We start from the raw sequence: 24485 nt of genomic DNA, 5'->3' as shown, positions 1-24485 counted from the left end.
GCCCACCCACACCTCGGGTTGGTCCCGACTTTAGGCTAGGCCATTCACTTCCGGTGACAAATCCCTCCCACCACCCCTAGAAATAATGTACCGCTTCTCCCACCGCTTTCCTAAGACCGACCGCCCCAGAGAGCCACGGAGCCCGGGGCTAGGGTCTCACCCCAGCGCGGCCGGCGACGCCCAGCTGCGGAGGGAGTGGCCGGGACCGAGCTCGGGGAGGGCAGGGAAGAAAGAGGAAGGGGGTGTGGATCTCACCTTCCCCCGCCCCCACCCCTCCGACTGCAGCAATTGGCCAAAAAAATAGTAATCCTTTTATGGACTCCCCCAGGGCCCCTCGAACCAGGTTGCAGTGAGGAACCCAGTCTCTCCCATCGCAGTGCCCCTTGCCTTCTCCTGCCCTAGTAACTGCCTGCGGGGATCCAGGAGCCCCCAGGCCGCGCCGAACTGCAGTGGATAGGGGGGAGGGGGGCGGTAAGGATGAGGGCTACGGGGAGGCAGAAATGGGTTGGGGGAAGGGGTGGTGGAAGGGAAAAGAAAAAACCGGAGGCATGCAAGCGGCTCCCCAGCCAGCTGTTCCAGCTGCTGCTTCCTCCGGCGCGGGCCAGGCGGTGCAATATTCCCCCCCGCTCCATCTTTCTCACCACTACCTGTCCCCCCAACCCACCACACGCACTCATCCCTCCCACCCACACCCCTAGTAGCGGATCTCCGGCCTGTAAGGGGGTAGTAGGGAGGAGCTGGGGGGAGGGGGAGGCCTGCGAGTTTCTAACCTTGTTCTTATAAACAAACCCACATGTGCAGCTGCCGCTGCTGCAACTCACCCCACAATCCCGGATATAAGTCCTGCCCCTTTAAGAGGAAAAAAAAGATTCCCCCGCCTGCCTCCCACCCCACCCATCCACAAGAACCTTTGTCTTCCCACCCCCATAGTCAGTCGGCCCCGCCCCATCTCCCCGCCCCCTCCGACGCAGAGGAACCAATAGGCGAAGAAAATAAGGCCGGGGATCTGACATCATCATGTTAGGCCAATCACCGGACGCGTTGGTGGGAGGCCTCACGGACAGCGCGCCCGGAGGAAGGAAGACAAGAGAGAGGAAGCTTGAAGCCAATATGGAGTCCGTCAGTTGCTCCGCTGCTGCTGTCAGGACCGGAGACATGGAGTCCCAGCGGGACCTGAGCCTGGTGCCTGAGCGGCTTCAGAGACGCGAACAAGAACGGCAGCTGGAAGTTGAAAGGCGGAAACAAAAGCGGCAGAACCAGGAGGTAGAGAAGGAGAACAGCCACTTTTTCGTCGCCACCTTTGTTCGGGAGCGAGCGGCCGTGGAAGAGCTTCTGGAGCGCGCGGAGTCGGTCGAGCGGCTGGAGGAGGCGGCCTCTCGGCTCCAGGGGCTGCAGAAACTAATCAACGACTCAGTTTTTTTCCTAGCCGCTTACGACCTGCGGCAGGGACAAGAGGCGCTGGCGCGGCTGCAGGCGGCCTTGGCCGAGCGGCGCCGGGGGCTGCAGCCCAAGAAGCGTTTCGCTTTCAAGACCCGGGGAAAGGATGCTGCTTCGTCTACCAAAGTAGACGCGGCTCCTGGCATCCCCCCGGCAGTTGAAAGCATACAGGACTCCCCGCTGCCCAAGAAGGCGGAAGGAGACCTCGGCCCCAGCTGGGTCTGCGGTTTCTCCAACCTGGAGTCCCAAGTCTTGGAGAAGAGAGCCAGCGAGTTGCACCAGCGCGACGTTCTTTTGACCGAACTGAGCAACTGCACGGTCAGACTGTATGGAAATCCCAACACCCTGCGGCTAACCAAGGCCCACAGCTGCAAGCTGCTCTGCGGTCCGGTGTCTACCTCTGTTTTCCTGGAGGACTGCAGTGACTGCGTGCTGGCAGTGGCCTGCCAACAGCTCCGCATACACAGTACGAAAGACACCCGCATCTTCCTGCAGGTGACCAGCAGGGCCATCGTGGAGGACTGCAGTGGGATCCAGTTCGCCCCTTACACCTGGAGCTACCCGGAGATCGACAAGGACTTCGAGAGCTCTGGTTTAGATAGGAGCAAAAATAACTGGAACGATGTTGACGATTTTAACTGGCTGGCCCGGGATATGGCCTCCCCAAACTGGAGTATTCTTCCTGAAGAGGAGCGAAATATCCAGTGGGACTAAGCAGTTGTCACTCTGTTCTTCACTCCTACCAAATACTTTCCACGTTGGACTTTCCCCCTTATTGGGTCTCGAAGTTTACTTATTGTCACACTGTGTATGTTTTCAGCATTTTAAGGCTAGAGATTGTAATGGGCTCCTACTTGTAATTTCCATTAAATTCGTAACAGGTATAACACTAAAGCATTTTTGCTATTTTCGTCATGCCTTTGAGACTGAGTCTTACTCCGTCCCCCAGCGTGGTGGCGCGCTGGGATTACAGGCGCGCGCCACCACGCGAACTTGTATTTTTAGTAGAGACGGGGTTTCGCCATGTTGTCCGGGCTGCTCTCGAACTCCTGACCTCAGGTGATCCACCCGCTTCAGCTTCCCAAAGTGCTGGCATTACAGGCGTGAGCCACCACGCCAGGGCTTTATTTATTTATTTTTACCACAATAGTTTGAAGCAGTAAGGGGGAAGGAGGGTGATTATATTGCTTTGTAATGGTTTGTGATACTTGAAACATCACGGTGCATAATAAAGTAGGTCTGCAGTAAATACATGGGTTTGTTTGGTGTGTGTGTGTGTGTGTGTGTTTTGTTTTTAAAGAGATGGGCTCTCCTTATGTTGCCCAGGCTGGTTTCGAACTCCTGACCTCAAGCAATTCTCCTGCCTCAGCCTCCCAAAACACTCGGATTATAGACAGTAACCAGCAGTGTCAGGGTATAGATACATATTTAATAAATTCCAGAGCTGAGCCCGGGGGCTCACGCCTGCAATCCCAGCACTTTGGGAGGCTGAGGTGGGCAGATCACTTGAGGTCAAGAGTTGGAGACCCGGTGCCAGGTGAAACCCCGTCTCTACTAAAAACACAAAAATTAGCCGGGCATGATAGTTCACACCTGTAGTCCCAGCTACTCAGGAGAACTGCTTGAACCTGGGAGACAGGTTGTCGTGAGCTGACATCACGCCACTGCACTCCAGCCTGTGTGGCAGAGTGAGACACTGTCTCAAAAACAAAAAACCATAGGTAATTCCTTTGTCCCTAGACATTCAGTTCCTTCGGAGAGCCATCACTCTTTACGTGTTTCTTTTTTTTTTTTTTTTTTGAGACAGAGTTTCGCTCTTGTTGCCCAGGCTGGAGTGCAGTGGCGTGATCTCAGCTCAGTGCAACCTCAGCGTCCCTGGTTCAAGTGACTCTCTTGCCTCAACCTCCCGAGCAGCTGGGATTACAGGAGCCCGCCACCATGCTCGGCTAATTTTTTGTATTTTTAATAGAGAATTTCACCATGTTGGCAAGACTGGTCTTGAACTCCTGACCTCGGCTGATCCACCTGCCTCAGCCTCCCAAAGTCCTGGGATTATAGGCGTGAGCCACTGTGCCCGGTCCTTTTTTTTTTTTTTTTCCTTTGTTTCTTTGAGACAGGGTCTGGGTGAAGGACCTTCTGGGCTCAAGATATCCTCCAACCTCAGCCTCCCAAGTAGCTGGGACTACAGGTGCACCCCATCACCCCCGGCTAATTTGTGTATTTTTTGTAGAGAGGGCTTCATCATGTTGCCCAGGCTGGTCTCGAACTCCTGAGCTCAAGCAATCTGTCCCCCGTGGTCTTCCAAGTGCTGGGTGGTGGTGCGTGTTTGTAATCCCAGCTACTCGGGATGCTGAGGCATGAGAATCCTTTGAACCTGGCAAGAAGAGGTAGCAGTGAGCCATTACTGTGCCATTGCATTTCCAGAGCAAGACTCTGTATAAAAAAAAAAAAAAGAAAAAAAAGAAAGGGGGTGGTGCCAGGCGCGGTGGCTCATCCCTGTAATCCCAGCACTTTGGGGGGCCAAGGCAGGTGGATCACCTGAGGTCAGGAGTTCGAGACCAGCCTGGCCAACAGGGTGAAACCTCGTCACTACTAAAAATACAAAAATTAGCCGGGCATGGTGGCACACACATGGAATCTCAGCTACTTGGGAGACTGAGGCAGGAGAATATCTTGAGCCCAAGAGGCAGAGGTTACAGTGTGCTGAGATTGTGGCGCTGCACTCCAGCCTGGGCGACAAGAGCAAAACTCCATCTCAAAAAAAAAAAGAAATTTTTGGGTCTTTGCCAGTTTGATGGTTACAAAATATTACCTTCCTCTACTAGTAATGGTAATCATCTCCTAACTCATCTCCCCATCTCCAATTTCTGAACTATTCTGCATACAGCTACTAAATTAGTTTTCTTAAAGTATGTCACTCCTGATCTAAAACCTTCTGAGATTCTTATTATCTGATAGACTTCCTGGCCTGGAAGACAAGCCCCTCCACCATCTGTTTCAGCCTACTGTTCTTACATGATGTTTTACTGTTTCATCACACACATTTCATGCACCAGCTAGTCTGAACTAATACCCATTAATCAAACACAATGTCAGGGCTCTGGCAGGAAACAGATGGCTTGCTCAAAATGGATACTTTGAGAAGAGCTTAATACAGGAGCTATTTACAAAGCTGTGGGCAGAGTATAAGAAAAGCAATTAGAGATGGTACAATATCTGTTACCATCCTTAGGGCTGAAGGGACAAAAATGTTACCTGAATGCAGAGAGAGATAGACAGTTATTGAGCTACCTGACAGGAGTTTCAGTCCTCAGTGGAGGGATGCTGCCAATCCATGGTGACCTGGCAGGGAGAGAGCCATGGGACTTAAACAATGTCATTCTCTTTTATTGGTGCCTCCCGTTGGTAGAGCCCAACTGGAAATTTCAGGGCAAAGAAGTCTGCTGCCGCAGTCCATATGAGTCAGCTCCCAGGATGTAGAACAGCGTGGAGAAAAATGAAGAATGGATCTGGAGGAGGAAATGGAAGACACTAAGGGCAGGCCAGCGCTGTGGCTCATGCCTGTAATCTCAGCACTTCGGGATTGCCTTGGGATTTGCCTTGGGAGGCCAAGGCAGGTGGATCACCTGAAGTCAGGAGTTTGAGACCAGCCTGGCCAACATGGTGAAATCCCGTTTCTACTAAAAATACAAAAATTAGCCGGGCATGGTGGCAGGCGCCTGTAATCCCAGCTACTCAGGAGGCTGAGGCAAGATAATCGCTTGAACCTGGGAGGAGGAGGGTACGGTGAGTCGAGACTGTACCACTGTACTCCAGCCTGAATGCCAGAGCGAAACTCCATCTCAAAAAATAAATATTCAGTGCAAATAGTTTTTGCCGTATTTCCTGGCCTTTTCTCGAGCAGTGCCCACACAGATTGGGTCCCCATGCACTTGCCAAAATTTCATACAAGACAAATGTCACTTCCTCTGGGAAATCTGGGATTTTCCTTAGTCTCTTTTGAAAATGAGGCATGGGCCAGGCTTGGTAGTTCATGCCTGTAATCTCAGCATTTTGGGAGGCCTTGGTGGGAAGATCACTTGAGCTTAGGGGTTCAAGACCAGCCTGGGTAACATAGGAAGACTCTGTCTCTACAAAAAATACAAAAATTAGCTAGGCATGGTGGCACACGCCTGTGGTCCCAGCTACTCAGGAGGCTGAGGCGGGATGATTGCTTGAACCTAGAGGTCAAGGCTACAGTGAACTGTGATTGTGCCACTGCACTCCAGCTTGGGCGACAGAGTGAGACCTTGTCTCAATAAAAAAAAAAAAATGAGGAGGCCAGGAGCGGTGGCTCACGCCTGTAATCTCAACACTTTGGGCGGCTGAGGTGGGCAGATCACTTGAGGTCAGGAGTTCGAGACCAGCCTGGCCAACTTGGTGAAACCCCGTGTCTAGTAAAAATAGAAAAATTAGCTGGGCATGGTGGTGTGCACCTATTATCCCAGCTACTCGGGAGGCTGAGGCCTGAGAATCACTTGAACCCAGGAGGCAGAGATTGCAGTAAGCCTAGATCACGCCACTGCACTCCAGCCTGGGTGGCAAAGCAAGACACTATCTCACAAAAAAAAAAAAAAAAAAAGGAAAAAGCTTAAAGAGAAACCAAGGAACGACCACTATGGGAAAGAACAGGGGAAACTTCTGGCCAATCAAAAAGTACTAAAGATTTACATAAAAGTTAGCTGTAATCTTTGAGGAGGGGAAATGAAGGAGGGAGGAGTAACTGCTTTTTCCCCAGCTTTGGTTACTGAAATTCTCCGGGGAGGGCCATTCACGCACATCTCATCAGAGATGGTAATTTCCAAGAAAGATGATTAAAAAGTTGGATGACTTTTAAGGTCCTTGAGCAGAGGAATGCTTATGGACATTACCAAGAACATTCCATAGAAGTTGCAGTTTAATAAACATTAGCAAATCCAGTTCATGCACAAATTTCTCCCAAGGAGCATTGACAGTTTAGCTTTTTTGTTGTTGTTGTTTTTTACAACAGGGTCTCACTCTGTTGTCTAGGCTGGAGTGCAGTGGTGCAATTATGGCTCACTGCAGCCTTGACCTCCCAGGCTCAAGCAATTATCCTACCTCAGCATCCTAAGTAGCCACCACACTTGGCTAATTTTTTTACTTTTTTTTGGAGAGCTGGGATGTCACCATGTTGCCCAGGCTGGTCTTGAACTCCTAGGCTCAAGGGATCCTCCCACCTTGGCCTCCCAAAGTGTTGAGGTTACAAGTGAGAACAAGCCAATTTAACTTTTTGACTGGGTACATGTTTAGTTTATGTTTGTTATTTATTTGTATTTTATTTTATTTTAATTTCTCTTTTTTTTTTTTTTTTTTGAGACGGAGTCTCGCTCTGTCGCCCAGACTGGAGTGCAGTGGCGCGATCTCGGCTCGCTGCAAGCTCCGCCTCCCGGGTTCACGCCATTCTCCTGCCTCACCCTCCCGAGTAGCTGGGACTACAGGCGCCCGCCACCACACCCAGCTAATTTTTTGTATTTTTAGTAGAGACGGGGTTTCACTACGTTAGCCAGGATGGTCTCGATCTCCTGACCTCATGATCCGCCCGCCTCGGCCTCCCAAAGTGCTGGGATTACAGGCGTGAGCCACCGTGGCTGGCCCACGCCCAGCTAATTTTTGTATTTTTAGTAGAGATGGGGTTTCACCATGTTGTCCGGGCTGGTCTCGAACTCCTGACCTCAGGTGATCCACCCACCTCTGTCTCCCAAAGTGCTGGGATTACAGGCATGAGCCACTGCGCCTGGCTGATTTTAGTTTCTCTTAATCTTCAATTTTGGTATGGTCATGGCATGAAATGTGTTTCCTGCCATGGAAACCCAAACTATAACATTACATCTCTGGAAACTATGGGCTAGACTTGACTTGGGTTCAATTGTGACTGACGTTAAAGAACCAACTGACTTCTTCAGTCCAATAACAGCTGTAAGACTGGGATACTGGGGCCGGGCGCAGTGGCTCACGCCTGTAATCTCAGCATTTTGGGAGGCTGAGGTGGGAGGATCACCTGAGGTCAGGAGTTCGAGACCAGCCTGGCCAACATGGCGAAACCCCATCTCTACTAAAAATACAAAAATTAGCCGGGCGTGGTGCATGCCTGTAATCCTGGCTACTCAGGAGGCTGAGGCAGCAGAATCATGTGAACCTGGGAGGCAGATGTTGTAGTGAGCTGAGATCGTGACACTGCACTGCAGCATGGGTGACAGAGCAAAACTCTGTCTCAAGGGAAAAAAGAAAAAAGAAGAAAAAACTGGGATATGTCCCCAGGGGCCTTAATAAAAAGTACTGGATGGGGCAGTAGCTCACCCCTGTAATGCCAGCACTTTGGGAGACTGAGGTAGGAGGATCACTTGAGCCCAGGAGTTAGAGACCAGCCTGGGCAACATGAGACCCTATCTCTAACACAAAATTAAAAAATTAGCCAGGCATGGTGGTGCATATCTGTGGTCCCAGCTACTCAGGGGGCTGAAGTAGGAGGATTTTTAAATTTTTAAATTTTTAATTTTTGTGGATAAGTAGTAGGTGTATAAATTTATGGGTTATTTGATACAATGAGTAATAGTAATGCAATGAGTAATAGTCACATCAGAGTAAATGGGGTGTCCATCCCCTCAAACATTTATCCTTTGTTACAAACAATCCAATGATACTCTTTTAGTTATTTTAAAATGTACAATTAAATTATTTTTGACTATAGTCACCTAGTTGTGCTAACAAATACTAGGTCTGATTCATTTTATTTTTATTTTTTCAGACAGGGTCTCGCTTTGTCACCCAGGCTGATGTGCAGTGGTGTGATCCTGGCTCACTGGAGGCTTGATCTCCCAGGTGTAAATGATCCTTTCACCTCAGCCTCCCCAGTAGCTGGGACTATAGACCTGCACCACCATGCCTGGCTAATTTTTAAATTTTTTTAGAGACAGTGTCTCCCTACGTTGCCCAGGCTGGTCTTAAACTCCTGGGCTCAAGTGATCCTTCCACTCCAGCCTCCAAAGGTGCTGGAGTTACAGAAGTTAGTTAGCCACTGTGCTCAACTCTGATTCATTTTTTCTAAGTAATTATTTTTTTTTTGAGACGGAGTTTCACTCTTATTACCCAGGCTGGAGTGGAATGGCACAATCTCAGCTTCCTGCAACCTTTGCCTCCCGGGTTCAAGCGATTCTCCTGCCTCAGCCTCCCAAGTAGCTGGGATTACAGGCAGGTGCCACCACCCCCAGTTAATTTTGTATTTTTAGTATGGATGGGGTTTCACTATGTTGGTCAGGCTGGTCTCAAACTCCTGACCTCAGGTGATCCACCCACCTCGACCTCCCAAAGTGCTGGGATTACAGGCGTGAGCCACCGCGCCCAGTCTTTAACTAATTTTTTGTACCCATTAACCATCCCCACTTGCCCCAGCCCCCACTACCCTTCCCAGCCTATGGTAATCATCCTTCTACTCTCTATTTCCATGGATTCAACTGTTTTAATTTTTAACTCCCACAAATAAATGAGAACGTTTGAAGTTTGTCTTTCTGTTCCTGGCTCATTTCACTTAACATAAAGACCTCCAGTTCCATCCATTTGTTGCAAATGACAGGATCCTGTTCTTTTTATGGCTGAATAGTAAGTACTCCATTGTATATATGTACCACATTTTCTTTATCCATTCATCTGTCGATGGACACTTACGTTGCTTCCAAATCTTGGCTATTGTGAACAGTGCTGCAACAAACATGAAAATGCAGATATCTCTTTGATGTACTGATTTCCTTTCTTTTGGGTCTCTACCTAGGAGTGGGATTGCTGGATCATATGGTAGCTCTAGTTTTAGTTTTTTGAGGAACCTCCTAACTGTTTTCCATAGTGGTTGTACTAATTTACATTCCCACCAACAGTGTACGAGGGTTCTCTTTTCTCCGCATCCTCACCAGCGTTTGCTATTGCCAGTCTTTTGGATAAAAGCCATTTTGACTGGGGGAAGATGATATCCCATTGTAGTTTTGATTTGCCTTTCTCTGATGATCCATGATGTTAAGCACCTTTTCATATGCCTGTTTGCCATTTGTATGTCTTCTTTTGAGAAATGTCTATTTAGACTTTTTGCCCATTTTTAAACTAGATTATTATATTTTTTCCTATAGAGTTGTTTGAGTTCCTTATATATTCCGGTTATTAATCCCTTGTCAGATGGGTAGTTTGCAAATATTTTTTCCCATTCTGTGGGTTGTCTCTTCACTTTGTTGATTGTTTCCTTTACTGTGCAGAAGGTTGTTCACTTGACATGATCCCATTTGTCCTTTTTATTTTTTAATTTTTTTTTTTTTTTGGAGACAGAGTCTTGCTCTGTCACCCAGGCTGGAGTGCAGTGGTGCTATCTTGGTTCACTGCAGCCTCCGCCTCTTGGGCTCAAGTGATTCTTGTGCCTCACCCTCCTGAGTAGCTGGGACTAAAGGCATGTGCCACGATGCCTAGCTAATTTTTTTTTTTTGAGACAGAGTCTCGCTTGGTTGTCCAGGCTGGAGTGCAGTGGTGCAATCTCGGCTCTCTGCAACCTCTGCCTCCCTGGTTCAAGTGATTCTCCTGCCTCAGCCTCCCGAGTAGCTGGGATTACAGGCACTCACCACCGTGCCCAGCTAATTTTTGTATTTTTAGTAAAGACAGGGTTTTGCCATGTTGGCCAGGCTGGTCTTGAACTCCTGACGTCAGCCGATCTCCTCGCCTCGGCCTCCCAAAGTGCTGGGATTACAGGCAAGAGCGACGGCACCCAGCTACCATTTGTTCATTTTTGCTGTGGTTGCCTGTGCTTGTGGGGTAGTACTCAAGATATCTTTGCTGAAGTGGGAGGATTGCTTGAGCCTAAGAGTTCAAGGGCTGCAGTGAGCCCTGATCATGCCACTGCACTCCAGCTTGGGCAACAGAGTGAGACCCTGTCTTAAAAAATAGATAAATAAATGAAAATGAAAATAAATTTAAAAAGCGCTGCTTTTGTGATTTCTTGATCGGAAAGTTTCTCCTAATAGCACTTTCTTTTTTTTTTTTTGAGATAGGATCTTGCTCTGTTGCCTAGGCTGGTGTGCAGTGGCAGGATCAGGGCTCACTGCAGCCTCAACTTCCTAGGCTCAAGCCATCCTCCCACCTCAGCCTCTGGAGTAGCTGGGACTACAGGTGTGAGCCACCTCACCTGGCTAATTTTTCGTATTTTTTGTTGTAACAGGGTTTTGCCATGTTGCCCAGGTTGGTCTAAAACTCCTGGGCTCAAGGGATCCCCCCACCTCGGCCTCCCAAACTGCTGGGATTACAGGCATGAGCCACTGTGCCTGGTGCACTTTCTAGGTTTTAATAAATAGTAGTGTAATAGAGGGTGCCGCTTGACCATCCACATGGCTTGAACTTTTCGCTGTGCCCAGCACAATAGTATTAAGTGTCTGACAGTTCTGATTCCTCTTGTGGTAAGCCTTGCTGCTGGGGACTTATCCTGGGAACAGCCCTCAGATGAATGACTCTCCAGAGTTAGTGAATAAATAGCTCAGCTCCCTCACCCAAGACAGGATAATTCTGAGATGTGTTTCCCCCAGGGATTTCCTTCTCCAGGGTGGAAGCTGGTGTAATAGCACAGTCTTGTGGGCCGCCTTTCCTTCCTGTACCACTTTGCCACCCCTCCATGGGTGTTATCTGAATCTCTCCAATTAACTACTTTCACTCCCAGTTTAGGGCAGTGTTTTTAGTGTCTCTCAACCTTTTTTTTTTCATTATCACCCCCCTAAAGAGCCTATTTTAGACATTTATTTGTTTATTTATTTATTTTTGAGACAGGGTCTCACTCTGTCGCTCAGGCCGCAGTGCAGTGGCGCGATCACGCCTCACTGCAACCTCTGCCTCCCAGGTTCAAGGGATCTTCCTACCTTAGCCTCCCAAGTAGCTGGGACTATAGGCATGTGCTACCATCCCCGGCTAATTTTTTTTGTATTTTTGATAAAGATGAGATTTCACCATATTGTCCAGGCTGGTCTGGAACTCCTGGCCTGAAGTGATCCGCCTGCTCTGGCCCCCCAAAGTGCTGGGATTATAGGCGTGAGTCATGGTGCCTGGCCAGATCTTTTTGTTTTGAAAAGATAGGGGCCACACAGATTTCACATTGGGACTTCTTTTTCCTAGTTATGCCCCTGGGAAGAGGAATAGAAAATGAAGAAAGTTATGGAACATTGAAAGTAGATGGTGGCAGAGGCCGGGCATGATGACTCACACCTGTAATCCCAGCACTTTGGGAGGCTGAGGTGGGCAGATCACCTGAGGTCAGGAGTTCGAGACCAGCCTGGCAAACATGGTGAAACCTCATCTCTACTAAAACTACAAAAAATTAGTCAGGCATGGTGGTGCACACCTGTAGTCCCAGATGCTAGGGAGGCTGAGGTACAGGAATTGCTTGAACCCAGGAGGCAAAGGCTGCAGTGAGCCAAGATTGTATCGCTTCACTCCAGCCTGGGCAACAGAGCGAGACTTGGTCTCAAAAAATAAAAATAAATAAAGTCAATAAGGGCCAGGTGTGGTGGCTCATGCCTGTAATCCCAGCACTTTGGGAGGCCGAGGTGGGTGGATCACCTGAAGTCAGGAGTTTGAGATCAGCCTGGCCAATGCGGTGAAATCCCGTCTCTACTAAAAATACAAAAATTAGCCAGGTGTGGTGGCAGGTGCCTGTTGTCTGTGAGTCCCAGTTACTTGGGAGGCTGAAGCAGGAGAATCACTTGAACCTGGGAGGCGGAGGTTGCAGCGAGCCAAGATCACACCACTACACTCTAGCCTGGGTGACAAGAGCAAAACTCCATCTCAAAAAAAAAAAGTAGATGTCAGTAAAGAGTACTGGCTTCCTTAAAGAGCTATCTCACTGAAAACAACTATAAATGCTAGATAAAATATATCAAAATACTTGTAAAAAGACATCATGGAGCTGCAAAGAGAGTAAAGAATATGTGGATGTGGGCGGAGAATTACTCAAGTGCCAAGGCAAGAGGCTGAAGGCACAAATTGTTTCAGTATAATAAAAAAAGTTAAAATAAAAATGGTTATGATACAAATTAGATATAGAGATGATCATGGACATTATCAATCATTAGTACAAAGATTATTAATCGTTAGCTTTTAATATTACTCTTTGTTGTATTACTAATATAACCAAAAAATAACCAGCAGGTATAGAGTCAGGTGCTGAAGGGACATTGTAAGAAGTAACCAAGAAAGCAAGAGGTGAGCCCTCTGTTACGCCCACATAAGGGCCGCTTGAGGGCTCCTTGGTCAAGCGGTAATGCTAGTGCCTGGGAAGGCACCCGTTACTTAGTAGACCGTGAAAGGGAGTCTCCTTTCCTTGGAGGAGTCAGGAAACACTCTGCTCCACCAGCTTCTTGTGGGAGGTTGGATATTATCCAGGCCTGCCCACAGTCATCCAGAGGCTTAAACCCCTCCCTGTGGTGCTGTGCTTCAGTGGTCACGCTCCTTGTCCACTTTCATGCTCCTCCCATACTCCTGGTTCCTCTTTAAAGTTCTTAGAAGGTAGCGGTAGAAAAAATAGTGAAAGTCTTAAGTGCATAGAAGAAAACACTGACGTATGCTGCCTTCCCTCTCTGCTTCAGCTACCTATAAGGGAAGGGTCCCCTGTCCTATAACCACGTGACTTACTTGACCTTATCAATCACTTGGACGACTCACCCTCCTTACCCTGCCCCCTTGTCTTGTATACAATAAATATCAGTGCACCCAGCCATTCAAGGCCACTACGTCTCCACGTCTTGGTGGTAGTGGTCCCCCAGGCCCAGCTGCTTTCTCTTTATCTCTTTGTCTTGTGTCTTTCTTACGATCTCTCGTCTCTGCACATGGGGAAAATACCCGCTAAGCCCCGTAGGGCTAGACCCTACATGTGGAGATCAAAAAAAAAAAAATTTTTTTTTTTGAGACGGAGTCTTGCTCTGTTACCCAGGCTGGAGTGTAGTGGCACAATCTCAGCTTGCTGCAACCTCCACCTCCCGGGTTCAAGCGATTCTCCTATCTCAGCCTCTGGAGTAACTGGGACTACAGGCATGCGCCATCATGCTCGGCTAATTTTGTATTTTTAGTAGAAACGGGGTTTCACCATGTTGGTCAGGCTGGTCTCGAACTCCTGACCTCAGGTGATCCACCTGCCTTGACTTCCCAAAGGGCTGGGATTACAGGTGTGAGCCACCACACCCGGTGGAGATCAAAATTAATCCAGAGATGTGAGCTAATTCTTTTTTTTTTTTTTTTTTTTGAGGCAGAGTTTTGCTCTTGTTGCCCAGGCTGGAGTGCAATGCCACGATCTTGGCTCACCGCAACCTCTGCCTCCCAGGTTCAAGCGATTCTTCTGCCTCAGCCTCCTGAGTAGCTGGGATTACAGGCACGCGCCACTGTGCCTGGCTAATTTTGTAGTTTTAGTAGAGACGGGGTTTCTCCATGTTGGTCAGGCTGGTCTCAAGCTCCTGACCTCAGGTGATCCATCCGCCTCAGCCTCCCAAAGCACTGGGATTACAGGCGTGAGCCACTGCGCCCGGCCAATGTGAACTAATTCTAAAACTGACTTTGTTGTGGGGCTGGGAGGTCTCTTGAACTCTTGTAACCTTGAGTTTCATTTTAACGGCACTGGAGAGAGGAGACAAGAAGGCAGACAGAAGCCAAAATCTGAGGCTTCCAAAGGGTGGAGTCTACTGAGCCCATCTTCAGTGTAAAAGTATGCTGTGGTCTGAATGTCTGTGTTCCTCGCTGTGGTGTTACGATATTTGTTGGTTTTCATCCGCGTTCCTGGCTCATAACTCCCACAGCCCTTGTTCTGGTCTTTCGTTATAATGTTGGGTGTGTTGGGCCTCAGGGGCAAGCCTCCGACCTTCTCCTGCCCACCTTCCACTCGAATGTCTCCCTACCTTTCTGATTGTGGGTCTTAAGACCTTCCAAAGAGAGGGTCCTGCACTGTACCGTGGGGGAAGGAATACTGTTGTCATGAAGCTTCCAAAAAAACCCCAAAAAGGCCCAGCAGCCCTGGAGTCAAAGCTGGTTCCCGGCCCAGTCCCATCCTGAAGCAGCCTGCCTCCCCTTTCCTTTCAACATGACAGATGCTGCCGTGTCCTTTGCCAAGGACTTCCTGGCAGGTGGAGTGACCACAGCCATCTCCAAGATGGCGGTAGTGCCCATCAAGCTTTTAAAATTTATTTTTGTTATTTTATTTTATTTATTTATTTATTTTTGCTCACTGTAACCTCTGCCTCCCAGGTTCAAGCCATTCTCCTGCCTCAGCCTCCCAAGTAGCTGGCATTACAGATGTGCACCACCATGCCAGCTAATTTTTGTATTTTTAGTAGAGACAGGGTTTCACCATGTTGGCCAGGCTGGTCTCAAACTCCTGATCTCAGGTGATCCACCTCCCTGGACCTCCCAATGTGCTGGGATTACAGGCGTGAGTCACTGCTTACCACCTGACTTCTTAATGATGACAATGAGAGCTGGAAAACAATGGAATAATAGTCTCAGCTGGGCGTGGTGGCTCATACTGTAATTTCAGCACCTTGGCAGGCTGAGGTATCGGATCACTTTAGGTCAGGAGTTCCAGACCAGCCTGGCGAACACTGTGAAACCCTGTCTCTACTAAAAATACAAAAATTAGGCCAGGCACGGTGGCTCACACCTGTAATCCCAGCACTTTGGGAGGCCGAGGCGGGTGGATCATGAGGTCAGGAGATCGAGGCTATCCTGGCTAACACGGTGAAACCTTGTTTCTACTAAAAATACAAAAAATCAGCCAGTCGTGGTGGCGGGTGCCTGTAGTCCCAGCTACTTGGGAGGCTGAGGCAGGAGAATGGCGTGAACCCAGGAGGTGGAGCTTGCAGTGAGCCAAGATCAGGCCACTGCATTCCAGCCTTGGTGACAGAGTGAGACTCTGTCTCAAAACAAAACAAAACAAAAATTAGCCGGGCATGGTGGCACACATCTGTAATACCAGCTACTCGGGAGGCTGAGGCAGGATAATCGCTTGAATCCTGGAGGTGGAGGTTGCAGTGAGCCAAGATCGTGCCACTGTACTCCAGCCTGGGGAACAAGAGGGAAACTCTGTCTCAAAAAAAAAAAAAAGAAAAAAAGAAACATTTGAAGAACACAGTGATATATTTTAAAAAGAGCATTGGCCTGGCGCAATGGCTTATGCCTGTAATCTTAGTGCTTTGGGAGGCCGAGGTGGGCAGATCACCTGAGGTCAGGAGTTCGAGACCAGCCTGCCGAAGATGATGAAACCGCATGTCTAATAAAAATACAAAAATTAGTTGGGCACCTGTAATCCCAGCTACTCGGGAGACTGGGCAGGATAATTGCTTGAACCTAGGTAGTAGAGGTTGTAGTGAGCCAAGCATGCTACTGAATTCTAGCCTGGGTGACAGAGTGAGACTGTCTACAAAAAAAAAAAAAAAAAAAAAGATCATTGCACCCAATTATTACATAAGACACACTTTTATCCCCCGCAAACACATGTGGAATATTGACCACAGGACAACTGGCCACAAACTAGGTCACAGAGCAAATCTCAAAGATTTTTTTTCTAGATTTGATATTGTACATGTTATGTTCTCTTACTACAATGTAACTTTTTTAGATTTATATTTTTTATTTCTGTATTTTTGTTTTGTTTTTATAGAAACAGGGTCTCACTGTGTTGCTCAGGCTGGTCTCGAACTTCTTAGGGTTATACCCTAGAGAAACTTCTGCATAATGAAAGATACACACAAATGTGTTTTTTGTTGTTGTTGTTTTGAGATGAGGTCTTACTCTGTCATCCAGGCTTGAGTGCAGTGGCTCAATCACTGCTCACAGCAGCCTCAATCTCCCAGGCTCAAACGATCCTCATGCCTCAGTCATGAGTAGCTGGGACCACAGGTGCACACCACCACGCGAGGCTAATTTTTGTATTTTTTGTAGAGGCAAAGTTTCACCATGTTGCCTAGGCTGGTCTTGAACTCCTGGGCTCAAGTGATCCTGCCTTGGCCTCCTAAATTGCTGCGATTACAGTTGTGAGCCACTGCATCCAGCCACAAATGTTGAAAGAGCTCTATGCATGAAAGTTTAACTCTAGAAATCACCCATATATCTCCTGGCAGAAGAATGTATACTATGTATATTCTATACATGACAATGAACTATAGCTACATGTAACATGTGTGTCTCTTAAAACATGTTGACTGAAAAAGAAGCAGATCCCTGGAGACCATCTACACAGTAACATACAATTGTTGTAAATCTCAAAAACATCAAAAATTTGTTTGTAGGAAAGCACTTAATGATTTTTATATGAAAAAGAAAAAGCTGGCTGGGCACAGTGGCTCACGCCTGTAATCCCAGCACTTTGGGAGGCTGAGGTGGGCGGATCACTTGAGGTCAGGAGTTCAAGACCATCCTGGCCAACATGGTGAAACCCTGTCTCTACTAAAAAATTAGCTGGGTATGGTGGCAGACACCTGTAATCCCAGCTACTCAGGAGGCTGAGGCAGGAGAATCGCTTGAACCTGGGAGGTGGAGGTTTCAGTGAGCCGAGATCGCGCCATTGCACTCCAGCCTGGGCAACAAGAGCCAAACTCGGTCTCAAAAAAAAAAAAAAAAAAAAAAGGAAAAGAAAAAAAAAGAAAACGCTAAGGTGTTCAGATTACTGGTGACCTCTTGAGTGGGAGGGAGAGTGCATTAGTCAGCTCTGGCTGCTATGACAGAATTCCATAGACTGGGCAGCTCGAGCAACAGGCATTTACTTTCTCACAGTTCTGGAGACTAAAGTCCAAGATGAAGGTGCCAGCAGGGTTGGTTTCTGGTAAGGCCTCTCTCCCTGGCTTGCAGATGGGTCTTCTCACTGTGTCCTCACATGGCCTTTCCTCAGTACTGGCTTGGGGAGAGCTCTAGTCTCTTCCTTTCCTTTTATTTTTATTTTTATTTTGAGACAGGGTCTTGCTCTGTCACTCAGGCTGGAGTGCAGTGGCAAAGTCTCAGCTAACTGCAACCTCCATCTCCCAGGCTCAAGCAATCCTCCCATATCAGCTTCCCAAGTAGCTGGGACTACAGGCATTCGCCACCATGCCTGTCTAATTTTGTATTTTTTGTAGAGAGAGGGTTTTGCCATGTTGCCCAGGAAGGTCTCAAACTCCTGAGCTCAAGTAATCCCCCCGACCTCGGCCTCCCAAAGTGCTGGGATTACAGGTGTGAGCCACTGCACCTGGCCCCTTTTCTCTTTTTCTTTTCTCTTCTTTCTTTTCTTTTCTTTCTTTCTTTTATTTTTCTTTCTTTCTTTCCTTTTTCTTTCTTTCTTTCTCTCTCGCTCTCTCTTTCTTTCTCCTTCCTTCCCTCCCTCTTTCCCTTTCTTTCTTTCTCTCTTTCTCTTTCTTTTCTTTCTGTTTTTTTTTTTTTTGAGATGGAGTCTTGCTTTGTCGCCCCAGGCTGGAGTTCTGTGGTGCAATCTCAGCTCACTGCAACTTCCACCTCCCAGGTTCAAGCAATTCTCCTGTCTCAGGCTCCTGAGTAGCCGAGACTACAGGTGTGCACCACCATGCCCAGCTAGTTTTTTTGTATCTTTGGTAGAGACAGGGTTTCACCATGTTGGCCAGGCTGGTCTCGAACTCCTGACCTCAGGTGATCTATCCGCCTTGGTCTCCCAAAGTGCTAGGATTACAGGCGTGAGCCATCGTGCCCAGCCCCTCTCTTTCCTTCCTTCCTTCCTTCCTTCCTTCCTTCCTTCCTTCCTTCCTTCCTTCCTTCCTTCCTTCTTTCCCTCCCTCCCTCCCTCTCTCTCTTGCTTTCTTGCTTTTCTTTCTTTCTTTTTTTGTTTTGAGACAGTGTCTTGCTCTGTCACCCCAGGCTAGAGTGCAGTGGCGTAATCTCGGCTGATTGCAACCTCCGCCTCCCGGGTTCAAGCAATTCTCCCATCTCAGCCTCCTGAGTAGCTGGGACTACGGGCATGCGCCACCATGCCCAGCTAATTTTTTTGTATTTTTAGTATAGACAGGGTTTCACCATATTGGTCAGGCTGGCCTCGAACTCCTGACCTCAGGTGATCTGCCCGCCTCCGCCTCCCAAAGTGCTGGGATTACAGGTGTGAGCCATCCCGCCCAGCCTCTCTCTCTCTCTCTCTTTCCCTCCCTCCCTCCCTCCCTTCCTTCTCTCTCTCTCTCTTTCTTTCTTTCCAGGTTGGGGTGCAGTGGCATGATCTTGGCTCACTGCAACCTCCACCGCCTGGATTCAAGCAATTCTTGTGCTTCAGCCTCCCGAGTAGCTGGGATTACAGGCGCCTGCCACCACACTGGCTGATTTTTGTAATTTTTGTAGAGACGAGGTTTCACCATGTTGGCCAGGCTGATCTCGAACTCCTGACCTCATGCGATCCTCCCACCTTGGCCTCCCAAAGTGCTGGGATTACAGGAGTGGGCCACCACACCTGGCCAAGAAAAACGGTATAATTTCGTTATTATAATAGCATTAATGGTCATTTCTTTTTTTTCCCCCCAAATCCGAGAACTTTATTGGACAGAGCTCCGTGCAGGGCCAAGGGCCCGGTGGCGAGGGCAGCTCCATCCAGGAGGTCTCAGCAACAGGAGCCCACAAGGCCACACTCTAGCTAAGGTTATAGACAGCTGGGAGACCAGGGCCTCTCCGCAGACGCGGGAACAGGCCAGATCTTTATAAATAAACATCCAGTGAAGAGAAATGACAACTCTAAGTCATCCGAATACACAGAGCACTCTAGGGGGTGGGGCACCGGGGGCCTGGAGGGGCGATGAGTGGACCCAGATGTCCATGGCACGGGGCGGCGTGGGGGGTGGGGTGGGGGCAAGGCCAGGGCAACAGACAACCGGCACTAGGACGCTGCGCTGCGCATGTACAAGATCAACTACTGGGGGCCGCGGTCCCGTGCGTGTGTGTCAGGCTCTTCGTTCTGGAATGAGGAGGGGTGGTTTTTACATCATATTCGGTGGCTGGTGGGCTCGGAGAGGGGCTACTCTGTGGAGAGGATGAGGGCAACGACGAGACCGTACAGGCCGAGCACCTCGGGGAAGATGAGGATCAGGATCATGCCCATGAATAGTCGGGGCTGCTGGGCCGTGGCTCGCACACCGGCGTCCCCCAAGATGTCTATGGCAAAGCCGGCTGCCAGGCCGCTCAGGCCCACGCTCAGGCCGGCGCTAGCTGGAGGCAGCTCCTGTAGAGGCTGATGTCGTCATTCGGGGAGCTGGCGATGAGGACTGTCACCACCAGGCCATAGATGGCGATGATGCCAGCCGTGACCACCGGGATGATGGACTTCATGATCAGCTCCGGCCGCATGACAGACATGGCCGCGATGCCGGCACCGGTCTTGACCGTGCCATAGGCAGCGCGCGGGGCGCTGAAGACCATGGCGGCCGAGGCTGCCATGACGGCGAAAAACGAAGCATACTCGGGGCCGTTCTTGGACTCGGACATTGTCTGCGGGTGGGGAGGGGGCAAGCTCTGCGGCCGAGGCGGAGGCGAAGACCGGGGCGAGGCCGGGCCGGGCGCGAAGGCGAGCACGCAGGCGGCGGCGAAGACGATCAGCATTAATGGTATTTCTAAAGAAGAAAAGTGAACCATCCTTGGTTCCGCTAACCTCTTCTATTATCTCTATAATAGATGTCTCGCATCTAGACTCACATCCAACATGGTCCGGAAGCAGGAAGGAGCCCTCCCTTCTCTGACAGATTAATTACTGCTTCCTTTGCAGTCCACTTTTCTCTGCTTGTTCATCGCCATATCTTGCCTTGATTCGTACTTGAAAGGTTTGGCCAGAGACATTTCTGATGTGTCTGTTCTTTTTCTCTTACTTTTCTGGGTAATTTAACGTGCTGGGGATGCGAGCACGTTAAATTTCCATCCATTGAAGCCATTCTATTTAGGGCCACCAGGGGGCATCCACAGACTTGCTATGGGCTCAGCACCGCCCTCCTCGTCGTATTTACAACCTCAAGGTCATTTGAGGAGAAAGAGGTGCCTGACTAATCGGGTTACCCTTGTAGAGCTATTTTTAAATTTTTGTTTCTGGTTTCTACATTAAATCTTTCTTCCTCTTCTTCCCTCTGATTTTCTCTTGTCTGCACGTGTGCTTCTAAGAGGCTCTCTGTGATAGCGTCACAGTCATCTACATCCTATTTCCTGCAGGACAATTGTCTTCCAATTTTTATTTTACTTTTTGTAGGAGGTATGAGTCCTCTGGTTGTCTGAACATCCTCTTTTGGAAAAAGCAAAACAAAAGGAAACAACTTCAAAAGTGGCAGCAATTCTTTTCAATGTCCTTGATGATAAAGAGTTGAAATCCTTTCATAATCCAAAGCTATTATAAGCCAACACTGGCTGTTAGAAGAGTGATCACTTTGGGTAATATTGTTTTTGACCCAAAATGCTGTGTGACTATAGTATAACAAGAATGTTTCCCCATATGGCTCAGGACCTGGCTTTTGAAATCACTCCCATTTGGAGTCCAGACTTGAGCTGAGCAATGGAATAAGTGCTTTGTTTTCCAAGGTGATTGTTGGATGGGAAAACTCATGTCTTGTTGCTTAGTTCTTACACCTCCTCTGCCTGTGGAGACTATTCCTCTGATTTACATAATGATTTGGAGACCTTGAAGAGGAGTGTGTGGGTAGTGAGTCTAGTGTAGGGGAATCAATGCACATAAGGGAAGAAAGGAGATTCTGGATTAGAGTTTTGACCCACTTGCCACCAAGAGCTCACAGGCTTCATATTCTAATCATGAAACCCTTTTTGGTATTAGGTGGACAGGAATTTGATGACAAGATTGGTTTGTTCTTTTTTTTTTTTTTTGAGATGGAGTCTTGCTCTGTCGCCCAGGCTGGAGTACAGTGGTGTGATCTCAGCTCACTGCAACCTCTGCTTCCTGGGTTCAAGTGGTTCTTATGCCTCAGCCAGCCTCTGGGAGTATAGCTGGGGTTACAGGTGCCTGCCACCATGCCCAGCTATTTTTTTTTTTTTTGTATTTTTAGTAGAGATGGGGCTTCACCATGTTGGCCAGGCTTGTCTTGAACTCCTGACTTCAAGTGGTCCACTTGCCTTGGCCTCCCAAAGTGCTGGAATTACAGGCATGAACCACCACACATGGCCTTGGTTTGTTCTTAAAAGCCCTTGTACTTATGCACAGGCTGTTCTGAGAAGTAAGATTATTGGATCTTTGGGAATTTTAATGCATTTTAAATTTTAGGGTGGGTGAGGTGGCTCACACCTGTAATCTCAGCAATTTGGGAGGTTGAGGCAGAAGGATTGCTTGAGCCCAAGGAGTTTGAGACTAACCTAGGCAACACAGCAAGACTCCGTCGCTAAAATTTTTTTTTGAAAATTGTAATAGGTATAGCTAAATTGCCCTTCCAAAGGGCTGTAAAACTTTACACTCTAAAGAAAACAAACAACATTATTAAAAAGTGAGCATGCTGGGCATTGTGGCAGGTACCTGTAATCCCAGCTTCTCAGGAGGCTGAGGTGGGAGGATTGCTTGAGAATAGTAGTTGGAGACCAGCCTGGACAACATAGATAGATCCTGACTCAAAAAGAAATAAAAGCAGGCAAAAGTGCTGAACAGACACTTCACCAAAGAAGATATGCAGATGGCAAATAAGCACATGACACATGAAAAGATCAAATGTCATTAGGGCACTGCAAATTCAAACAAGATGCAGCTACACACCTATTACAGTGGTTAAAATCTGAAACACTGACAATATCAAATGTTGGCAAGGACATGAAGTAAAAATTGCTGGTAGGAATGCAAAATTGTACAGTCACTTTGCAAGACAGATTGGCAGTTTCTTACAAAGTTAAACATAGTCTTACTATGTAATCTAGCCATTGTGCTCCTAGATATTTACCCAGATGAATGGAAAATTTTTCAGCAAAAACCTGCACGTGGATGTTTATAGCAGTTTTATTCATAATTGTCAAAAACTGGAATCAACCAGGATATTCTCTGATAGGTGAAGGAATAAACCGTGGTACATCCATGTGATGAAACGTTATTCAGTGATAAGAAGAAATGAGCTATTAAGCCGTGAAAAGATACAGAGAATCATTAATCACATATATTGCTAAGGGAAAGAAGCCAGTCTGAAAAGGCTACATGTTGTATGATTCCAACTGTAAGATATTCTAGATAAGGCAAAACTATAGATCTAGACGGTGGTTGCCCAGGGCTGAGGAGTGAGGGAAGGAGGAATGAATAGGCAGAACATGGCAGGTTATTAGAGTAGTGGAAGTATTCTGTATGATACAATAATGATGAATACATGACATTATGCATTTGGCAAAAGTGACAGAATTATATGCACAAAGACTGAACCTTAATGTAAACTATAGACTTTAGTTAATAATAGTGCATCAATATTGGTTCATTAATTGTAACAAATGTACCACATTAATGCAAGATATTAATTAGAGGAGAAACTGGTTGGGGAGATGGAGAATAATGGGAACTCCCTGTATTTTCTGTTCAATTTTTTTGTAAACCTAAAACTACTGTAAGAAATAATCCATTAATTAATAATAATAATAAATGTACAGATTCACCAAGAGTGTACACTTCTACTTCCACTCTCTTTGTTGATGTATGGTGACAGAATTTTGACATACATTCAATTTGATGGATCGAGTTTGGTCTTTTTCTTTTTTTGAGACGTCATTTCACTCTTGTCACCCAGGCTGGAGTGCAATGGCGCAATCTTGGCTCACTGCAACCTCCACTTCCCGGGTTCAATTGATGCTCCTTCCTCAGCCTCACAAGTAACTGGGATTACAGGTGCCTGTCACCATACCCAGACAATTTTTGTATTTTTAGTAGAGACAGGGTTTCACCATGTTGGCCAGGCTGGTCTTGAATGCCTGACCTCAAGTGATCCACCCACCTTGGCCTTCCAAACTGCTGGGATTACAGGTGTGAACCACTGTGCCCGGCCAAGTTTGGTATTTTATTGTTGTTTGGATTTGCATTTTCCTGCTTATTACCCAAGTTGAGATCTTTTCCAGATTATTGGACTTTTCAAGTTTCCTAATTATGAATTGTCTGTTCCTGGTTTTTGCCTATTTTTCCAGTTGATTATTGGTCTTTTGATTGTGAATTTTTGTTTATTGTGAATTTGTGAGACTTAAAACATTTTTGCATATTAATTCTTTTTTTTTTTTTTCCAGACAGAGTCTCACTGTCACCCAGGCTGGAGTGCAATGTGGGGATCTCAGTTCAGTGCAACCTCCACCTCCTGGGCTCAAGCGATCCACCTGCCTTGGCCTCCCAAAGTACTGGGATTACAGGCATAAGCCACCATGCCTGGCCACTGTATATTACTTTTTAATTTTACAAGTTGCAAATGTTTTCTCACGATCTGTCACTTTCTTTCTTTCCTTCCTTCTTCTCTTCTTTTCTTTGTCTTTTTAAAATTTGAGACAGGGCCTCACTCTGTCACCCAGGCTGGAGTGCAGTGGCACGATCATGGCTCAGTGCAGCCTTGAACTCCCCAGGCTCAGGTGATCTTGCCACCTCAGCCTCCAGAGTAGCTGGGAGAACTACAGGTGCATGCCACCATACCCAGCTAATTTTTTTTTTTTTTTTTTTGTGTGTGTGTGTGTGTGTGTGGAGATGGGGTCTTCCTATGTAGCCCAGGCTGGTCTTGAACTCCTGGGCTCAAGTGATCCACCCAACTTGGTCTCCCAAAGTGCTGGGATTATAGGCGTGATCCACTGTGCCTGGCCCTGTCATTTCTTTTCTCAGAGAGGATAACAATTTATTTGTCCTACAGAAAGTTTTAAATGTTGAAGGAGATTGGCCTGGAAATATGCTTTTGGGGAGCAACACGGTCTGAGCCAGACATCCAGATACAGCCCATTCTTCTGGCCAGTCTTGCCCTTTGCTCCTGATTCTCCAAGCTGTACCCAGAGCTTTCTGGTTCAGCATGTACCTGGAGGCTGCTTTTGACCATGTTTTGAGA

At 47.7% G+C, this 24485-nt stretch overlaps 2 protein-coding genes and 1 pseudogene across 8 annotated transcripts in view, besides 9 other annotated features; 1 reads left to right on the top strand and 2 right to left on the bottom strand.

Moving 5' to 3' along the window:
- The window catches only part of BICRAL (BICRA like chromatin remodeling complex associated protein), a 122218-nt gene extending 121373 nt beyond the window's left edge, over positions 1-845 (bottom strand). For 2 of the 6 annotated variants that reach the window (XM_047418544.1, XM_047418547.1), the window contains exon 1: positions 771-845. The gene's annotated coding sequence lies outside the window, so the exon portion shown is untranslated. Of the gene's footprint in view, positions 1-91; positions 198-770 lie in introns of those variants that run through there. The other 4 variants (XM_047418542.1, XM_047418545.1, XM_047418543.1 and 1 more) reach the window with 2 other exon arrangements.
- Positions 23-82: a silencer, noted in NCBI's record as "silent region_17206". NCBI's record gives its function as "represses an Ori minimal core promoter by ATAC-STARR-seq in GM12878 lymphoblastoid cells {active_cell/tissue: GM12878}" and the evidence as "EXISTENCE:reporter gene assay evidence [ECO:0000049][PMID:35858748]".
- Positions 23-988: a biological region, named in NCBI's record as "H3K27ac hESC enhancer GRCh37_chr6:42713934-42714897".
- Positions 25-988: an enhancer, noted in NCBI's record as "H3K27ac hESC enhancer chr6:42713934-42714897 (GRCh37/hg19 assembly coordinates)". NCBI's record gives its function as "activates a minimal SCP1, AML or CMV promoter by ChIP-STARR-seq in primed H9 embryonic stem cells {active_cell/tissue: H9 hESC(primed)}" and the evidence as "EXISTENCE:reporter gene assay evidence [ECO:0000049][PMID:30033119]".
- Positions 1053-1262: an enhancer, noted in NCBI's record as "active region_24568". NCBI's record gives its function as "activates an Ori minimal core promoter by ATAC-STARR-seq in GM12878 lymphoblastoid cells {active_cell/tissue: GM12878}" and the evidence as "EXISTENCE:reporter gene assay evidence [ECO:0000049][PMID:35858748]".
- TBCC (tubulin folding cofactor C) lies at positions 1081-2686 on the top strand. The gene has a single exon (NM_003192.3). The coding sequence runs from the start codon at positions 1111-1113 to the stop codon at positions 2149-2151; it is 1041 nt and encodes a 346-aa protein (NP_003183.2). The 5' UTR covers positions 1081-1110; the 3' UTR covers positions 2152-2686.
- Positions 1293-1372: an enhancer, noted in NCBI's record as "active region_24567". NCBI's record gives its function as "activates an Ori minimal core promoter by ATAC-STARR-seq in GM12878 lymphoblastoid cells {active_cell/tissue: GM12878}" and the evidence as "EXISTENCE:reporter gene assay evidence [ECO:0000049][PMID:35858748]".
- Positions 1433-1592: an enhancer, noted in NCBI's record as "active region_24566". NCBI's record gives its function as "activates an Ori minimal core promoter by ATAC-STARR-seq in GM12878 lymphoblastoid cells {active_cell/tissue: GM12878}" and the evidence as "EXISTENCE:reporter gene assay evidence [ECO:0000049][PMID:35858748]".
- Positions 18990-19608, bottom strand: ATP6V0CP3 (ATPase H+ transporting V0 subunit c pseudogene 3; annotated as a pseudogene). Its single transcript, NR_037141.1, has one exon. The product of NR_037141.1 is annotated as an ATPase H+ transporting V0 subunit c pseudogene 3 (transcript).
- Positions 19653-19702: an enhancer, noted in NCBI's record as "active region_24565". NCBI's record gives its function as "activates an Ori minimal core promoter by ATAC-STARR-seq in GM12878 lymphoblastoid cells {active_cell/tissue: GM12878}" and the evidence as "EXISTENCE:reporter gene assay evidence [ECO:0000049][PMID:35858748]".
- Positions 20203-20342: an enhancer, noted in NCBI's record as "active region_24564". NCBI's record gives its function as "activates an Ori minimal core promoter by ATAC-STARR-seq in GM12878 lymphoblastoid cells {active_cell/tissue: GM12878}" and the evidence as "EXISTENCE:reporter gene assay evidence [ECO:0000049][PMID:35858748]".
- Positions 20583-20652: an enhancer, noted in NCBI's record as "active region_24563". NCBI's record gives its function as "activates an Ori minimal core promoter by ATAC-STARR-seq in GM12878 lymphoblastoid cells {active_cell/tissue: GM12878}" and the evidence as "EXISTENCE:reporter gene assay evidence [ECO:0000049][PMID:35858748]".

The sequence above is a fragment of the Homo sapiens genome, chromosome 6 (assembly GCF_000001405.40).
Source record: "Homo sapiens chromosome 6, GRCh38.p14 Primary Assembly".
NCBI lineage: Eukaryota > Metazoa > Chordata > Mammalia > Primates > Hominidae > Homo > Homo sapiens.
This window is presented reverse-complemented; position numbering and strand designations above follow the sequence as displayed.